This window comes from Homo sapiens, chromosome 5 (assembly GCF_000001405.40).
Source record: "Homo sapiens chromosome 5, GRCh38.p14 Primary Assembly".
NCBI lineage: Eukaryota > Metazoa > Chordata > Mammalia > Primates > Hominidae > Homo > Homo sapiens.
This window is the reverse complement of record NC_000005.10, coordinates 74,989,646-75,009,609: the sequence shown is the minus strand read 5'-3', so window position 1 is coordinate 75,009,609 and position 19,964 is coordinate 74,989,646. Positions and strand designations below refer to the sequence as shown.

The 19,964-nt window shown below is 40.0% G+C and overlaps 1 pseudogene, besides 2 other annotated features; it reads left to right on the top strand.

The window, feature by feature from the left end:
- Positions 2,235-2,857: an enhancer, noted in NCBI's record as "NANOG hESC enhancer chr5:74302578-74303200 (GRCh37/hg19 assembly coordinates)". NCBI's record gives its function as "activates a minimal SCP1, AML or CMV promoter by ChIP-STARR-seq in naive and primed H9 embryonic stem cells {active_cell/tissue: H9 hESC(naive and primed)}" and the evidence as "EXISTENCE:reporter gene assay evidence [ECO:0000049][PMID:30033119]".
- Positions 15,509-15,558: an enhancer, noted in NCBI's record as "active region_22677". NCBI's record gives its function as "activates an Ori minimal core promoter by ATAC-STARR-seq in GM12878 lymphoblastoid cells {active_cell/tissue: GM12878}" and the evidence as "EXISTENCE:reporter gene assay evidence [ECO:0000049][PMID:35858748]".
- On the top strand, positions 18,954-19,462 carry RPL27AP5 (ribosomal protein L27a pseudogene 5; annotated as a pseudogene).

The window sequence follows — 19,964 nt, the reverse complement described above, 5'->3', positions numbered from 1 at the left end:
CCTGCTTTGTCCTGCTGTATTTTTCTTCATAGCTTGTATCACTACTTGACTCATTATATATTTATTTGTTTTGTGTCATCCTCATTTCCCACCTCACATAACATAAGCTTCATTAAAGCAAAACATGCTGTTTCATTAACAGCAGGGTTCCTACCACTTAGAACAATGCCTGGCATGTAGCAGGTATAAAATATATATATATATATATATATATATATATATATTTTTTTTTTTTTTTTTTTTTTTTTTTTTTGAGATGGAGTCTCGCTCTGCCACCAGGCTGGATTGCAGTGGAGTGATCTCGGCTCACTGCAAACTCCGCCTTCAGGGTTCATGCGATTCTCCTGCCTCAGCCTCCCAAGTAGCTGGAACTACAGGCTCGTGCCACCACAGCCAACTAATTTTTGTATTTTTAGTAGAGATGGGGTTTCACCATGTTGGCCAGGATGGTCTTCATCTTTTGACCTCATGATCCACTCACCTCGGCCTCCTAAAGTGCTGGGATTACAGGTGTGAGCCACCGTGCCCGGCCAAAATATATATTTTTCAATGAATACACTTCATTTGTTCAGAGCACCTGGTCCATCAATGAACACATGAGTGGTCTCAATCCCCTTCAGATTTGTGACTCTCACTGGGGCTGGGTATCTGTAAGAAGCCAGTCCTCTGGATCAATATGACACGAATTTGTAAAAGGGAGTAAGCAGTTTAAAAATATATCCTGGGAAATCCCAGGATAAAATCCCAAGCAAGCAGGTTTATGGAATCAATACTGGGGACTCCTGGGGATTAGAAAAAGGAGCAATTGCCATTCCTGAATTATCTGACCATATGGCATTCCTCTAAAAATCTGCTTTGTCTTGGATTTTGGGCTCTGTGACACTAGGGGGAAAGGAAAATATTTCACTTTATCATATAGAAACAGCATCTTGCCCTCTAATGGGGTTGAAGCAGGGTCTGGGAAGCATTTTGGTAACTGTTGGCACAGAAATCTTCAGGGTGGACAGGATGCATTCCCTACAGATGGAGCCTGTATTATTTATCTCTGCTAGGCAGCTCCCCAGTTGTACCTCCCAGCCCAACACAAGTGTGTAGTTGACACTGGCAGCCTTTCTCTCCCAGTGATCACAAACGCTGTAACCACTTTTCAAAGGAAAGCTGGCTATACCAGATGCTTGTAATAATGTATCTCAAAAAGTCTGTAAAACATTTAGAGTAAAGACAAATAAGACTTTAACAATGATGACCGGAAATTCGGAGGCTTAAGAAGGAGACCATTAGGGAAGAAAGAAATGAAATGAAGGAGGGAAGAAGGATGAAGGAAGGAAGAATATCTACTCTCTAACAAGACACAAGAACTTATATTCATCATTTGCATGCCCATTGCCTCTAAGAAAAAAATCTCCCAGGCAGGCGCGATGGCTCACGCCTGTAATCCCAGCACTTTGGGAGACCGAGCTGGGCGGATTGCCTGAGCTCAGGAGTCCGCGACCTCCTGGGCAACATGTTGAAACCCCATCTCTACTAAAATACAGAAAATTAGTTGGGCATGGCAGCGTGCACCTGTAATCCCAGCTACTCGGGAGGCTGAGGCAGAAGAATCACTTGAACCCGGGAGGCAGAGGTTGCAGTGAGCCGAGATCGCACCACTGCACTCCAGCCTGGGTGACAGAGTGAGACTCTGTCTTAAAAAAAAAAAATCTCCCAAATAACTTTCCATACAGTATGATTTGGAAGCCAGTTAACTATGGACTTTAAGATATTTTCCTTTATCTAACCCAGATACTCAGAACTAAAATCAGATCAATTTTTCTCTTGTCTCAGAGCTTAAAGGCATTATAAAAGGTTACTGAAATGAAGAAAGTGAGTCTGACAGTAAGAATGTGTCATCTTCAGACTGTGCAGGGGAGAGATCTGGTCACCCCCACGGAGCTGTAGTCTGCATGATATCCAGGGGGAGTGCCGTAAGAATGCAGCCACGCCGACTCGTTTACATATCACCCATGCCTCTCTGCAACCGCAGAGTTAAGTAGTTTCGACAGAGATGGCTTGCAAAATCTGAAAATATAGAATATCCAATACTTTACAGAAAAAGGTTGCTGATCTTTGATAGCTATTAAAGGAAGAAGTTGACTAATCAGGCTACCATGGTCTGCTTAAAATATTTCTGAGGACTCTATGATGCTCTTCTTCAATTTCATTCCTTTTTTATTAAGCAAACTCCTGAATGTAATTAGATTTTCTCAACTATGCTTCCCTATTAAGGAAAGAATGTGCAGACTTACAAGAATTTCCAATCATTCTTGACAGTTATATTTCTCACTGTAAATGACTAAATTGGCTTTCCAGTACAGTCTCATAAATTCGCATAAGGTACTACAGTTTTCAGCAGTCCAGCATCTCTTGACATTAGGCTGTCAATGGGGCAGATCTGCAGGGCTAAAAGACCAGGCCCTAAACCTGTGCCCATGGAGTCAAAGCCCCATGAGGTCTGACCTCACATAACAGTTATACTTGCATCCTTTGGGAGATCAGGAAAGAATTTGTGCAAGGAATGTCTTTGGTATATGCAAACTTGGATTTCTAGGCCTTTTACCGCTGACCTCAAGAGAATTTGCAAGACAATAATTGAGGCTGTAAGTGAAGAGGAGAGACTAAAAGCTTTTGCTCCTATTCAGGAAATGATGACTCTTGTGCCATTTGCTAATGAATCTGACTATGGCACGGGGCTTGAGTTGAGAAAATGGACCTCTTTTGCTATGGCTCACATTATTTTTGTAAAGTTGCTGGCCAGCTTTTACCTCTTGCATATAAACTGTTGAAGAGGAATCTGTTTGCAGAAGTTATTGAGAATCATCTGGCAAACAGAAGAGAACTTAGACCAACTTGCTGCATGAGTAAGGTGGCTTTGTTTAGTGTACAGTGTTTCAAAGGATTAGTATTAAACTTGTGATTTTTGTTTTGTTTTTAAGGAACACAAAAAAAACCATTTATTTAAAATAAAGATTTCTAGCTCTTACGTTTTAATTTAAAACAATTTATTGCCCAGGCATGGTAGTTCACACCTGTAATCCCAGCACTTTGGGAGGCCAAGGAGGGCAGATCGCTTGAGCTCATGAGTTCAAGACCAGCCTGAACAACATAGTGACACTCCATCTCTGCAAAAATACAAAACTTAGCCAGGCATGGTGGTATATGCTTGTAGTCCCAGCTACTTGGGAGGCTGAGGTGGGAGGATGGCTTGAGCCCAGGAGGTGGAGGTTGCAGTGAGCCAAGATCACGCCACTGCATTTCAGCCTGGGTGGTAGAGCCAGACCTTGTCTTAAAAAAGAAAAAAAATGACCAAAATAATACATTAATAAAGGTTTAAAACTCAAAAAGCACACAGCTGAAGCAAAAAATATGCTCACCTCCCCATGGCCTTCCTGATCTCCAGTTCTCACTACCCAGAAGGAACTATTTTCAGCCCTTTTCACTGTTTTTTATATCTGCCTTCATAATTCTAAATAACATGCTAAACAAAACTCCTTACAACACAATAAAATACAGTTTATTTATTTTATTTTTGAAATCATCCCCTTGTACTCATTCTACACTGACTGTTCCTGGGCTTGCTGCACAGCTGTAACCCCAGAGCTTCCCTTCTGCATTATTTTGGGTCTTCCCACAATCTCCTGCTAGAGGTTTCTGATTTTCTGGATCCTGTGTCTTCCTCTGGGTGTTTCAGCCTGATTGATGGAGCACATTCTCCTGTTGCTTCATGAGAAAGAAGGAAGAGAAGGTAAAATTTTTGTTACTCTGCGTGTTTGAAATTGTCTTCATTATATCCTCATATTTGGTTGATAGTTTGTCTGGGTATAAAATTACAGATGAAAATTGTCCTCTTAGAGGTTGTGGGCATTGGGCCTCTAGTGTCTTGTGTTGCTATGCCATTCTGATTTCCAATCCCTTGTATGCTTTTGAAGTCCTCTTTTTTTTTTTTTGAGACAAAGTCTTTCTCTGTCACCCAGGCTGGAGTGCAGTGGCACAATCTTGGCTCACTGCAAGCTCCGCCTCCCGGGTTCATGCCATTCTCCGGCCTCAGCCTCCCGAGTAGCTGGTACTATAGGCGCCCGCCACTGCGCCTGACTAATTTTTTTGTATTTTAAGTAGAGACAGGGTTTCACCGTGGTCTCGAACTCCTGACCTCATGATCCGCCCACCTGGGACTCCCAAAGTGCTGGGATTACAGGCGTGAGCCACCACGCCTGGCCTGAAGTCTTTTTCTCTCAGATGTCCTGGACTTTTATCATGGTATACCTTGGTGTAGATCTTTTTAAAATTCATTGAGCTGGGCAGTCAGTGGTCCTTTTAAATCTAGATGCCCCTGAGCCTCAGTTTGAGAATTTTTTTTCCTTTTTACACAGTTACTGCCCTTCATTTTTTTTCTATTCTCTTTTCCTAGAGAACCTTTTAATTGAAAATTTGGGCTGTTAACGAATCCTGTAATAGTTTTGTCTCTTTTATATTTTCTCTGTTTGTCCTTTTGTTCAACTGTCTGAAAATTTTCTTTAATTGTACATTTGATACCTTCCATTGAGATTTAAATTCTGCTAACATTTTAAATTTTAAAAACATTCTTATCCTCTGCAGATAAAAAGAAAATTATGACATCCTGTTCTTCTTTCAGGTATGCAGTGTTTTCTCCTAGGTCTCTGAGGATTTTAATTATAAATTTTAAAATGTTTTCTTCTATTCCCCATATTATCTGTTTTGTTTGGTTCCTTTTCTACCTTTGTTTTAGTCTCTGTGTTTCCTTTTGGAGGCTCCCACAATCTGGTACTCCGTTGCTGGAAGGAATGAGACAGGTACTTGTTCCCCCAGTGATGAGAAAGTAAGATGACACAGAAGTACCGTCTCACCATAAACAATTAGAAAACTGAAAGAAAAAAGAGAAGAAACTCTTTTTGGATATAGGCCAGTGGGAAGCATAGGGCTGTGATCATGGAGAAAAGGGGAGCAAGTGAGGTGAGCTTTCCATTACGTAGGCCTCTGCCTGGAGATAATGCCTATACTGAGGTTCACAGAGGGTAATGTGGTTTGGATACTTGTGCCCTCCAAATCCCATGTTTAAATGTGATCCCCAGTATTGGAGGTGGGGCCTAGCAGGAGTTGTTTGGGTCATTGGTGGAGGATCCTTCATGAATGACTTGGTACCATCCCTTTGGTGATGAGTGAGTTCTCAGTCTATTAGTTCACATTGAGAACTAGCGGGTTAAAGGAACCTGGAAACTTCTCCCCTCATTCTTGCTCTCTCTCTCACCATGTGGCACATTTGCCCCCACTTTGTCTTCTGCCAAGAATAAAAGCTTCCTGAGGACTCACCAGAAGCTGAGTAGATGTTGGCGCCATGCTTCTTACACAGTCTGCAGAACTCTAAGCCAAATACATCTCTTTCTTTATAAATTACTCTCTCAGGTATTCTTTTATAGCAATACAAAAGAGACTATACAGAGGGGAAATCTAAACAGAGACTGTAGTTTGGAGAGGTCAAAGTGGCTAAAATTTTCAGGGCAGAGTACCTAAAAGACAGGAATTTCACTGAGCTCTAGAAATCTACATGGGGACTCCCTTGAGATTTAGGTTGAAGACCAATCTGTTTGTGTATATGGTGAAGTTCCACTAGGCTGGACAAGAACAACCTCCAAGGAGAAAACAGTTGCAAGGAGCTTTGAGACAAATAAATCTCAGATATCACATAGGGCTGAAAACCATTCAGGTTCCCACCAGTTGGAGTAGAGAAGTTTTATTGAATACCAAAGACCCCAGGAGGGCTATGACTTAAAAGTAGAGCTAAATTGCTTTAGGGTAATAGACTCTAGAACTACCTTAAAAGAGATAAAAAGCCTCAAAAGGATAAAACTAATCTAGAAGTAACTTAAACTGCCTGCCAGGAAAAATTCAATACTCTTTAAAGGCATTCAAAGCTCAGCACTTGACAATATGAAATTCACCATGTTTGGCATTCAGTCAAAAGTCATGAGCCATGTGAAGAAGCAGGACCATGAGGCCTATGACTAGATGAAAAATCCATAATTAAAAACAGAAAAGAACTGATAATGGTGATGTAAGAACATGGAAGTAGCTGTTATAAATGTGTTTTCTATGCCCAAGGACATGGACATGATAAGAAGTGAAATGGAAGGTACAAGAAATCAAATGGAGATTTTCAGAGATTAAAAGTATCTGAAATGGAGACTTCCAGTTTCTATTCCACATGTACAGAGCTTGGAAGTTGCCACTCTGTCCTAGCAAGTACAAAGCTGAACAGGCTAAAAAACCAGCTCTTCTTGGATCTGTAGGAGAGGGGAGGACACAGGGCAAACCACTGTCGTCAAGTCTGGAAAGACACGGAGGCCTCTAGAAGGAGTCACAGCTTACTGGGCAGAGACTCAGGAGCAGAAACTGCTGTGGGAACCAGTTTTAGGAGGGAAAACCTGAATTATAATCGATGAATTTCCAGAGGCTCAGCATGGACAAGTCTGAACGTTAAAAACTCCAAAAGGACCCAGTCATAGGGAAGTAGCCACACTTTTGTGAGTTTTACCTCCAGGAGCTTGACCATGTTCCGGCAGTACGTACTGGAGAAAAAATCCCTAATGATTCTGGCAAGGGGAGAGGAAAAGGAACTATTTTGAAATACGCCAAGGCATTTTCTTCTTAACAATGCCTGCCCTCAGGAGAAACTATTTATCCAGATCCTTATATGCTGGGGTTTTTCCAGAGCCTAACTGACCTTGGAGAAGGGAAAGACTCCATCCTGGCCCACTGTAGCCATCCTGTTCCATCTAATTGGGGAGAGGAACTGAGAAAAACTAAATTACATCTTTCTAACAGGTAACAGTTTGTTCAAAATATAATAGCAACAATGTATTCCACTGTGATTCTTATGTATGTATCTTATGTGTATACTTGCTTATATGTAAGTAAAATGAATGACAGCAAAGATACAAGGGACAGGAGGGAAGAAATGGGATTACAGTTTGAGTATCCATTATCCAAAATGCTTGAGAACAGAAGTGTTTTGGATTTCAGATGTTTTTCAGATTTTGAAATGTTTGCCTTATACTTACTGGTTCAGCATATGAAAATCCAAAGTCCAAAGTGCCCCAGTGAGCATTTCCTTTCAGTGCCATGTCAATGTTCAAAAAGTTTTAGATTTCGGGGCATTTCCGGTTTCGGATTTTTGGATTTGGGATGCTCATTCTACATTTTGTTATTAAAAGGTACTCGTGCTACCTGTGTGCTGTTATTTGAAAGCACACTTGGATTCATTGTAAAAGCATTTTGCAAACTCCAGGGTAACTACTAGAAAAAGCAAATAAAGAAGTGTAACTAAATGCCAAAAAAAGGGAGAGAAAATGGAATAATATAAATGTCCAGTTAAAATCACATAGAGGACCAGGCACAGTGCCTCACGCCTATAATCCCAGCGCTTTGGGAGGCCAAGGTGGGTAGATCACTTGAGGTCAGGAGTTCAAGTCCAGCCTGGTCAACATGGCAAAACCTCACCTCTGCTAAAAATACAAACAACAGCCAGAAATGTTGGCATGCACCCGTAATCCCAGCTACTCAGGAGGCTGAGACAGGAGAATCACTTGAACCCTGGAGGCAGAGACTGCAGTGAGCTGAGATCACACCACTGCACTCCAGCCTGGGCAACAGAGTGAGAGGCTGTCTCAAAAATAAATAAATAATAAAATAAAATCACAAAAGAACTGACTGTGGGCACTATGGGTCATGCCTATCAGTTAGCCCTGCTCTGCAAGAAGCAAGAAAGAAAATAAATAAAATACAATAGAATCACAAAAGGCAGAAAAAGAGTAGAAGGCAAAAACAGAAAAAAAAGAACAAGGGCAACAAATAGAAAATAGTAACAAATATGGTAGATATTAATTCAAATATTTCAACAATTACTTTGAAAACCAGTGGTCTAAATACACCAATTAAAAGACAGAGATTGTCAAAGTTGGTCAAAAAAACAAGACCCAACTCTGTGATATCTATAAGAAACCTGCTTTAAATATAAGGACACATACACACTAAATTTAAGTGGATGGAAAATAGTATATGATGTTAACAATAATCAAAAGAAAGGAAGAGTAGCTATATTAATTTCAGACAAAACAGACTTCAAAGTAAGAAAAATTACTGGGGATAAAGAAGGGCAAAATAATAAAGGGGTTAGTTCCCCAAGAAGACATAACAATCCTTGACACGTAACCTAACACAGAGCATCAAGCTACATGAGGCAAAAACTGAGAACTGCAAGGAGAAACTGATGGACCTACTATCATAGTTGGAGACTTCAGCACCCTTCTATCAGCAATGGACAGATCCAGAAGGAAAAAAACATCAGTGGAGAGATAGTTGAACTCTGTTAGATATCTATAATGCCATCAATCAACTAGATGTAATTGACTATTTCATCCAACAATAGCAGGATATACTTTCTTCTCAAGCTTACATAGAACATTCACCAAGACAGGCTATGTTCTGTTCCATAAAACATACTCTCATAATTTTTTTTGAGATGGAGTCTCACTCTGTCACTGTATTAGTCAGGGTTCTCTTAGAGGGACAGAATTAATAGGACATATAGTTATATAGATATACAGATATATGGGAGTGCTGGGATTACAGGCATGAGCCACTGCACCCAGCCCTTCGTTATCCTTTTAATGTCCATGGGATCTATAGTGATGTCCCTTCCCTCTTTCATTTCTGATGTTAGTAATACATGTCCTCTCTTTTTCTTAGTCAGCTTGGCTAGAGGCTTATCAAATTTATTGATCTTTACAAAGAACCAGCTTTTATTGTAATTGATCTACTCTATTGATTTTCTATTTTCAATTTCATTGATTTCTGTTCTAATTCTTATTATTTCTTTGGATTTAATTTACTCTAATTTTTCTAGTTTCCTAAGGTGGAAACTTAAATTGCTGATTTTAGATCTTTCTTCTTTTCTAATATATGCATTCAATGCTATACATTTCCCTCAAAGCACTGTTTTTTCTGTAGCACATAAATTCTGATAAGTTGTGTCTTCATTTTCATTTAGTTCACAAATTTTAATATTTTTCTTGAGCTTTCTTTGACACGTGTTATTTAGAAGTGTGTTGTTTAATTTCCATGTATTTTGGGATTTTCCAGTTAATTTTCTGTTACTGATTTTGAGTTTAATTCCATTGTGATCTGAAATCAGGCATTAGTGTAAATTCTGTTATTTTAAATTTGTTAGGCTGGGCACAGTGTCTCATGCCTGTAATCCCAACACTTTGGGAGGCCAAGGTGGGTGGATCACCTGAGGTCAGGAGATTGAGACCAGCCTGGCCAACATGGTGAAACCTTGTTTCTACTAAAAATACAAAAATTAGCCTGGCGTGGTAGCACATGCCTGTAATCCCAGCTACTCAGGAGGCTGTGGCATAAGGATCGCTTGAACCTGGGAGGTGGAGGTTGCAGTGAGCTGAGATCATGCCATTGCACTCCAGCCTGGGCAACAGAGTGAGACTCTGTCTCGAACAAACAAACGGATAATGAAGGAATACAATGAACAACTCTAAGCCCACAAACTTGATAACCTAGATGAAATGAAATAATTCCTTGAAAGACACAATCTGCCAAATCTCACACAATAAGAAATAGATAATATAAATAGGCCTCTATCTATTAAAGAAATTGAATCAATAATTAATAACCTTCTAAAATGGAAAGTACTATGCTCAGATGGATTCACTGATGATGTCTACCAAATATTTAAGGAAGAAATTATAATAATTCCTTACAGACGAACTAAATAAAAGATATCCCATATTAATGTACCGGAAGACCCAATATTGTCAAGATGTCAGTTCTTCCCAACTAAATAAAAGATATCCCATATTAATGTACCGGAAGACCCAATATTGTCAAGATGTCAGTTCTTCCCAACTTAATCTGTATGTTCAATGCAATCCCAATCAAAATTCTAGCAAGTTATTTTGCAGATATCAACAAACTCATTTTAAGGTTTATACAGAGATGCAAAAGACCCAGAATAGCCAACACAATATTGAAAGAGATGAACAAAGGTGAAGGACTGACACTACCTGACTTCGAACCTTACTACGAAGTTATAATAAAGTTAGTATGGTGTTGGCAGAAGGATAGACAAGTAGATCAAATGGAACAGAATAGAGAGCTCAGAAATAGACTCACATAAATATAGTGTACTGATCTCTGGCAAATGAGAAAAGGCAACAGAATAGAGCAAAGACAGTCTCTTCAACAAATGGTGCGGAAACAGCTGGACATCCACATGCAAAAACATTAATCTAGACATCAACCTTACATTCTTTACAAAATTAACTAAAAACGATCCTAGATCTAAATATAAAACACAAAACTATATAAACTTACAGGAGAAAATCGAGATAACCTTGGGTATGGCAGTGACTTCTTAGATGCAACATCAATGGCATGATCCATGAAAGAAATAATTGATAAGCTGGATTTCATTAAAATTAATAACTTCTGCTCTATGAAAGAAAATGTCAAGAGAAGGAGAAAACAAAGCACAGACTGGGACAAAATTTTCCAAAAGACACCTCTGATAATGTACTCATCCAAAATACACAAATAACTCAATAATATGAAAACAAACAACCCAATTTTAAGAATGGGCCAACGACCTTAACATACACCTCATCAAAGAAGATATGTAGATGGAAAATAAGCATATAAAAAGATGCTCCACATCATCTGTCAAAGGGGAAATGCAAATTAAAACAATGAGATACCACTAAATATCTATTAGAATGGCCAAAATCCAGAACACTGATAACACCATACACTGGCAAGGATGTGGAGCAACAGGAACTCTTACTCGTTGCTACAATGCTGGTGGGAGTGCAACATGGTACAGCCATGGTAGAAGACAGTTTGGCAGTTTCCTACAAAATTAAAAATACTCTTACCATATGATCCAGCATTGTATTCCTTGGTATCTACCCAAAGAAGCTGAAAATGTATATCCATGTGAAAATTTCACATGGATGTTTATAGCAGCTTTATTCACAAATGCTGAAACCTGGAAGCAACCAAGATGTCCTGCAGCATGTGAATGAATCAACTGTGGTATATCCAGACAATGGAGTATTATTCAGTGCTAAAAAGAAATGAGCTATCAAGCCATGAAAAGACATGGAAGAATCTTAGATGTATATTACTAAGTGAAAGAAGCCAACCTGAAAAGGCTACGTACTGTGTGTTCCCAACTAAATGACATTTTGGAAAAGGCAAAACTATGGAGACGTGAAAAAGATCAGTGGTTTCCAGGGGCTAGTGGGGAGGAAGGGACAAATAGGTGGAGCACAGAGGATTTTTAGGGAAGTGAAACTATAGTTGGCCCTTTAACAATGAGGGATTGACATACGTGGATATTCTTTTCAACAACGTGCATAGATTGAAAATACAGTATTTGAGGGAAGCAAAGCCTGAGTATATGGACTGCCAACTTTTCATATATGTGGGTTCTGCAGGGCTGACTGTGGGATGGGAGTAAGTGTGGATTTGGCTATATGCAGGCAGTCCTGGAATCAATCCCCCACGTATACCAAGAGATGACTGTACACTGTATGATACTATAATGGTGGAACACATCATACATTTGTCCAAATCCACAGAATATGCAACTCCAAGAGTGAACCCAAGATAAACTATGAACTTTGGGTGATTATGATATGCCAATATTGGTTCATCAGTTGCAACAAATGTACCATTGTGTGGGGAATGTTGATAATAGGAGAGGCTGTGCAAGTGTGGGGTCGGGAGTATATGAAAAGTCTCTGTACCTTCCTTTTAATATTGCTGTAAACCTAAAACTGCTCTAAGAAAATCAAGTCATATATATTTTGTTCCGTATCTGAAATGAAAAGTGTACTGGATAAGATTCACTGATTAGATACTGCAGAAGAAAAGATCTGTAAACTTGATGATATAGCAATAGAAACTACCTAAAATGAAACACAGAGAGACAAAAAGACAGAAAACATTGAATAGAGCCCCAGTAAACTGTGTGAAAATAGCAAGCTTTCTAACATACATGTAATGGCAGGGCGGGGTGTGTGGAGTACAGAAAAATATTTGAGAAAAGAATGGCTTTTTTTAAAGTCCCCAATTTGATTCAAACTATGAATACACAGATCCAAAAATCTCAATTGCAAGTAGAAGAAACATTAAGAAAATCACAAATGGCCAAAAATCAATAATAAAGAGAAAATCACAAAAGCAGCCAGATGCGGGAAATTTACATTTAGAAACTGAAGACAAAAATTAAAGTAGACCTCGGTTGGGCACGGTGACTCACACCTGTAATCCCAGTACTTTGGGAGGCCAAGGTGGTTAGATCACGAGGTCAGGAGTTCAAGAGCAGCCAGTTCAAGACCAGCCTGGTCAACATGGTGAAACCCTGTCTCTACTAAAAATACAAAAAAAAAAAAAAAAAAAATTAGCCGGTTGTGGTGGCACACACCTGTAATCCCAGCTACTAAGGAGGCTGAGGCCAGACAATTGCTTGAACCCGGGAGGCAGAGGTTGCAGTGAGCCAAGATCACGCCACTGCACTCCAGCCTGGGTGACAAAGTAAGACTCTGTCTCAGGAAAACAAACAAACAAACAAAACTAAGTAGACCTCAGTAGAAACTATACAATTCATAAGAAACTGAAGTGATACCTTCAAAATAACCCAGATAGTAGCCATAGTACCCAACAGGTAGTTCTTCAGTCCACATCCCTCTCCCTCCTCGCTCTAGTAGTCCCCAGCATCTATTGTTTCCATTTTTATGTCCATGTGTACTCAATGTTAAGCTCCCAGTTATAAGTGAGAACATGCAATATTTGGTTTTCTGTCCCTGTGTTAATTCACTTAGGTTAATCGCCTCCAGCTGCATCCATGTTGCTGCAAAGGACATAGTTTTGTTCTTTTTTGTGACTGTGTAGTATTCCCTGGTGTTTATGCACCTCGTTTTCTTTATCCATTCTACTGTTGATGGGCACCTAGGTTGGTTCCATGTCTTTGCTATTGTGAATAGCATGCATGTGTTTTTTTTGTAGAATGATTTCTTTTCCTTTGGGCATATACTCAGTAATGAGATTGCTGGGTCAAATGGTAGTTCTGAGTCCTTTGAGAAATCTCCAAACTGCTTTCCGCGGTGGCTGCACTAATTTACATTCCCACCAACAGTGTGTGAGTGTTCCCTTTTCTCCACAGCCTTGCCAGCATCTGTTATTTTCTGATTTTTTAATAATGGCCATTCTGACTGGTGTGAGATGGTATCTCATTGTGGTTTTGATTTTCATTTCTCTGATGATTAGTGATGATGATCATGTTTTCATATGTTTGTTGGCTGCTTGTATAGCTTTTTCAAACAACCAAAAGCAGAAAGAATTCATTGCCAGCAGGCCTACAATACAAAACAATGTTAAAGGAAGGTCTTCAAGAGGAAGCAAATTGATACCAAATGGAAATTTGGATTTACACTTAATGATGAAGAATGCTGGCCAAGCGTGGTGGCTCATGTCTGTAATCCCAGAACTTTGGGAGGCTGAGGAGGAATGAAGAATGCTGAAAATTATAAATATGTAGGTAATTATAGAAGACATTTTTTCTTATTTTAAATTTTATTTTGAATATAATTATTTAAATTTTAAAAAGATGTATTGCAGGGTTTAAAATACCTGTAAAGTAAAATTTATGACAATAATAAGATTCAAAAAAATAAGTCAGGATATAGGCAATTTGTATAACACTCTCAACTGATTTGACTAATTAACAACTATAGAACATTCCACCCAGCAACAGAATACACATTCTTTTTAAGTGAACATAAAACATTCACCAAGGTAGAACATATTCTGAGCCATAAAACAAGTCTTAATACATAAAAAAGATCAAAATTATACAAAGCATATTATCTGACCACAACACAATTAAACTTAAAACCAGTAACAGAAAGATATCTGGAAAAACCCCAAATACTTGGAAATTAAACAATCATACTTCTAAATAACCCATAAGCCAAGGAAGAAAATCACAAGAGAAATTAGGAAATACTTTGAACAGAACAAGAGTGAAAGCCCCACGTAACAGCATTTGTGGGATGCAGCTATAGCAGTGATTTAAGATAATTTTTAGCATTAAGTGCTGCTTTTAGAAAACAAAAAGGGTCAAAAATTAGTGTTCTAAGTTTCCACCTTAAGAAACTAGAAAAAGAAGGGCAAATTAAACCCAAAGTAAGCAGAAAAAAGGAAATAAGATCAGAAATCAATGGAATAGAAAATGGACAAAGAATAGGGAAAATCAATCAAACTAAAAGTTGGTTCTTTGTAAAGATCAGGAAAGAGGCACTTACAAGAAGCTGTTGAGGGATAGGTTTTATTAAAGTAGAGTTTCTCAGGCTTACTTGTACATTAGAATCACCTGGGGAACATTTAAAACTCCTGACGCTGGGGCTGTGTACTTTTGACTAATTAAGTCAGAATCTCCAGGCATTAGCACATGTTAAAGCTTTCCAGGTGATTCTAATGTGCAGCTGAGTTTGAGAACCACCGTTGAGAGATCAGGCAAGGCCCAATCTCTTCACAGTGGAAGACCACCCCTCACCCAACTACCCACTTGTCAGGATCTAACTTGGGCTAGTCAGAGGCTCCAGAGTCAAATCCCCTCATCTCCTGCATGGATTTTTATATGCCTGGCTGCTGGTGTTGCGAGGGTGCAGTAGGAGAAGAAGAATGAAATCTCTTCATTTGGTATGTAGACTTTCACCTAATTTCAATAGGGTGTCTCAGGCCTGGCTTGGATTCCCAAGTCTTCTCTGATTTGGTTTCTCCACAGAATAAACCTCCAGTCTCCTGCCAGGATTGGAGAAAGGGCATCATCTGCGGTGTAGGTCAAGAAGGGAATCTGGGAGCCTTGCTGCTCCCATTTATTTAAGCTGCCTTGTTTGCAGCCCTTCTCTGCACCCCTGCTTTCCGAGTCCCAGGTTCTGCCATGTTCGGCAGAGTGAGTTACCTTCTTGCTGCCTTCTTCTACTGCAGGCTTGGGGTTCTGTTTCCCTTGGTTTGATAAACCAGTCAATGCACGTTCTTCTCTTTCCAGCTCCCAATATTTTTTTCGGTTGATTTTTTTTCTCAGTCGTCTCCATTTCCAATCCCTTAGAACTTGTGGTTTGCCTTCTTTCCCCCTTTACTATCACTTTAGTGGGATTTCATGAGACAGTGGAGATAAAAGTAAGTGTCTAATCTACCACATTTAACCAGAAATTTTCCAGAGCCTTTTTAAAAAATCAGAGTACTTAATAATGATGTTAAAAGAGAAACATTTGACAAATTACATTTAGTAGAGTTTAATTGGGCAAAAAATGAATCAGGCAGTTCTCAGCACCAAAACAGGTACAGAGAAACTGGGGCTCCCATGGAGTTTAATACTCTGGTCGAATAATACTTATGAACAGAAACAGAAATGCAATGTACAGAAAATGGAAGCGAGGTACAGAAACAACTGGACGGGTTACAGTCCAGTGCTTGCCTTATTTGAACATGAGCAGGTGGCTGCCTGCTACTGACTGAAGCATGGCTGCTGTGATTGGCTGAGACTCAGCTATCTGTTAGAAAAGCATACTCCTAAGCTGGGTTTTCAGTTTATTTACATACTAAGTTTGGTTGCAGTTATTATGTAAGGACTCAAGTATGCCAGTATGGTGGCTTTTCTCAGGCCAAATTTACTTTAACAATGGTAATCACTTTTAACTCAGTTACCTTCGCAGGAATGCAGAATGAGAGCTGTGTTGGTCTCTGGGATATAAGAGTATGATCACAGCAGATGATAATGGTTTTCCTGCTCCTATTTCACAATCTTAAGTCCTAAATAAAATGAAATTGGATTGCAGAACTCCAAATCTAGTACTTTTAGAACTGATTGCAAAGATGGTAGTATTTTGTTAGTAAGAGTTAAACCTGCCTCATTAATACTCGTGTGTTTTGTTCTCCCATAATGCTTCTAGTGGTAGCAATCCTACTGTGTTGTATTGACCAGAAAAAAAAAGAATATGTAACTTTCTGTCTTCTCATTAGGAAGTCATAGTAGACATGTCGTTTCCTGGATATCAGAAGCGTGTCTGTACTGGTTTACTCTCCATACTCTTCCCTTGGGTTTTTAACCTTACATTTGAAGCAAGGGAAAAGATGCTGGCCATTGCAGCCATGGTCTTCACACCGCAAAGCTACAGCAAAGCAGTGGATTAAGCACCTACCCCGGATGGAGACCACCTGGATTCTAGCCTGGGCATTGTCACTCTCTAACCTGATGACCCTGGGCAAGACAGGCCCCCTCTCTGGCCTTCTGGGTTTTGTAGAATAAAGGGGTGATTTGGCTAACTTCTCTGGATCTTTCTAGCTTGACAAACACTGTCTATACGAATTCTTACTGAAAATAAATGTCCCCAGAAGGATGTAGAGACATAATCTGCTTTTATGGAGAAATGACTCAGAAGGGCTGGACCTCGCTCTACCTTCACCACCTCTTTCACTGGAAGTACCTGAGGGCAGTGATCACTTCCGGCATTTCAATGCTTATATAGAATTGGCCCGAATATTGCTCCCTCTTCTCAGGTAACCCAGCCTGGGGCTAAAAGTATGTCTTTGTGCTTTTATGCCAGGTTCCAATCCCTGTCAGTTATGGTTTGTGGGTTGTTTTATTTCAAACAAAACAAATATAATTATTATATTTGGGCTTGAGGTCATCTGGGGGTTCTGAGATACTCCCCACTCATAACCAAGGCAAAGTCTGGAGCTAGAGGAAATAAACAGCCTTATAGACAAATCACATGAAGCTGTATAGATGAGCTGGAACCTGCCTGGTCCAGTTGGTTGTAATACACCAGGCATGCACTGTATGAAACAGGCCACTTGCAGGGTGTTATGTTGAATTATGTCCCCCAAAAAAGCAATCTTGAAATCCTAACCCCCAGTACCTCAGCCTGTGACCTTATTTGGAAATAGGCTAATTAGATGTAATTAATTATGATGAGGTCCTGCTGGAGTAGTGTGGACCTTTAATCCAATATGACTGGTGTCTTTATAAGAAGATGTTGAGAAAATACAAGAGGAGACTCTGTGAAGATGGAAGTGGAGACTGGAGTGATGTGGCTGCAAGCCAAGGAATACCAAGGACTGCTCGCCACCACCAGAAGCTAGGAAGAGGCAGGGGAGGAGTCTATCCAGAGTCTCGGAGGGAGCATGGCTGTGTGAACACCTTGATTTTCGAGACTTTTAGCCTCCAGAGCTGTGACAGAAAGTGTCCCTGTTGTCTTCAACTATCCAGTTTGGGTGGCTTACTTTATTATGGCAGCCATGAGAAACTAATACATAGCTAAGGTCAAGTTGCCTTTGGCCATCACTAGCTATCATCTAATTAAAAAGGCATCAAAGAAATGTTTAAACCTGGTAAGCTTTGAATATAATCAAATGATCATCAATATTTAAACCCTCAAGATAGCCAATGAGTGAAATGGAAAACTTTATACTTTCCAAGATGAATGCCTGCCATCGACCCATCTATATTTAAAACATTGGACTTTGCTTCTTGGGCCTTATTGACCTTCTGTCAACAAATAATTAAGTATTTATCCAGTGCCAAGAACTGTGCTAGGTGCTGGGGATACAGATATCAATAGGGAACAGTGTGCACCCCATTCCCTCCCAGAGTTCACGTTCTTGTAAGAAACACAGACATTAAATATACTATTTCAAATAATAAATTGAAAGATTCCATCCACGGAAAGGACCACAGTAGACAAGTTCAAGATGCCATGTCAGCATGTAATGGGAAATCTGACTGGCAGTGTGAATGTTAACCCCTGCTTTCCAGAAAGCCTCACTAAACCAGCCTGATTTGTAGTCTTTGCTCAAATACTCCCACCATGGCTGATGTCAAGCTCTCCTGCCACCACAGCAGGGTTAGCTAGCACAAGATGCACACACAGTAGCAGGCCACTCTGTTCTATTTCCACCACACATTCCGTTCTATTTCTATTGTGACCTCAGGAGCACAAATGTAGAATATAATAAAATAATTAGAACATGAAAAGTTTTAAGTGTTTCTCGCATTTGTTTTTATTATAACTTAATTGTAAATGTATACCACTTAATTTATAATAATGGCGGTGTTTAACAATCGGCTTGCAAAATTCTACCTTTCGCAAGCTGGGAATAAGTTTGGAGCAGAGGGTTAAGGAAGGCTTTCCCGTGGAAGTGACACTTAAAATGACGAATGAATTAGAATTAGCAAAGTACAGAAGAGGGGAGGATGACCATTCCAGGCAGGAACCATGGCAAGTGAGGTCTTGGGATTTAAGAGAGCCTGTTATACTTGAGAAACCGATGGCAAAGAAGGCGAGGAAAAATATGGAAAAATGAGGCCAAAAGAAGGACAGGGACCAAATCATGCATAGCCTTGTAGTCCATAGAGAGGATTTTGAACTTTATCTTAAATACAATGGGAAACTATTGAAGGTGTTAAGCAAGGGAGTCATGATCAGATTGAGGTATTTGAAATATCCTTATGCTCTGTGCATGGAATAAAACACTCAAGAATGGATGTAAGACACATAGAGCACAAGCATCAGAAGAAAAAGTGGATGAATTGGACTTCAACAAAGTGAAAAACTTTTATACATTGTTGGGGTTCAGAAACCGATACCCCAAAGTATGGCGCTTTGACATGCTGAACTGAGCAAGAAGCCTCAAGGTCTCTCTGACCCTCCCCCTGCCTCTTACCTCTCAATCTTTTATCTCTCCCTAAGCTCAGGATGAAGTTCTCTAAGTTCTCAAATCTGCCTAAAGTCTGGACTCACCAAAGAAGAAAGCAATTGCCCTTTCGTCCGGGCCACCAACGTGCCATCCAGACTGAGGAAGACCCGGAAACTTCAGGGCCACGTGATCCACAGCCATGACCCTATAAGGGAAGCACCAGAAGCACCCTGGAGGCCACGGTAATGCTGGTGGCACACATCACCACAGGACCAGCTTCAACAAATACCACCCAGGCTACTTTGGGAAAGTTGGTAGGACGCATTACCACTTAAAGAGGAACCAGAGCTTCTGCCCAACTGTCAACCTTGACAAACTGTGGACTTTGGTCAGCGAGCAGACATGGGCAAATGCTGCTGAAAACAAGACTGGGGCTGCTCCCATCATTGATGTGGCGCTATTGGGCTACTACAAAGTTCTGGGAAAGGGAAAGCTCCCAAAGCAACCTGTCATCATGAAGGCCAAATTCTTCAGCAGAAGAGCTGAGGAGAAGATGAAGGGAGTCGCAGGGGATCTGCGTCCTGGTGGCTTGAAGCCACATGGAGGGAGGTTCATTAAATGCTAACTACTTTTTTTTTTTTTAAAAAAAAAAAAAAAAAAAGAAAGCAATTACCTCTGGTCCCTTCCTTGGGTTTTCATTAACTGAACTCATATTGCAGAAAGACTGAAATCTGTTAACACACCTGGACAGACTTTTGTCAAGAACCATCGTCGGCTCTGTGGGTTCAACAGACTTTGTCCTTCAAACAGACTTTGTTCTTCAAGCCCCCTGAATTCCCCTAAAAATCATTTACTATCCCTGCTAAAATTATCCACAATGCTTTGTCTCCCTTCCCCCACTAAGAAGGGAATGTAACTATCTGTGCCCCATTGTGGGGTTGAGCAATCATTCTATGGTTTTTTTCCCACACAGGCTAGTAAGTTTGCATATCATTTTCCCCTATTAATCTGCCTTTTTTCAGGTGATTTTTCAGCAGAACTTCAGAGGGCAAAGGGGAAGTTTTCCTTTGGCCCCTGTAGCATCAAAGGATACTACCAAGAGACTGAAAAGACAATTCACAGAATGGAGAAAATAT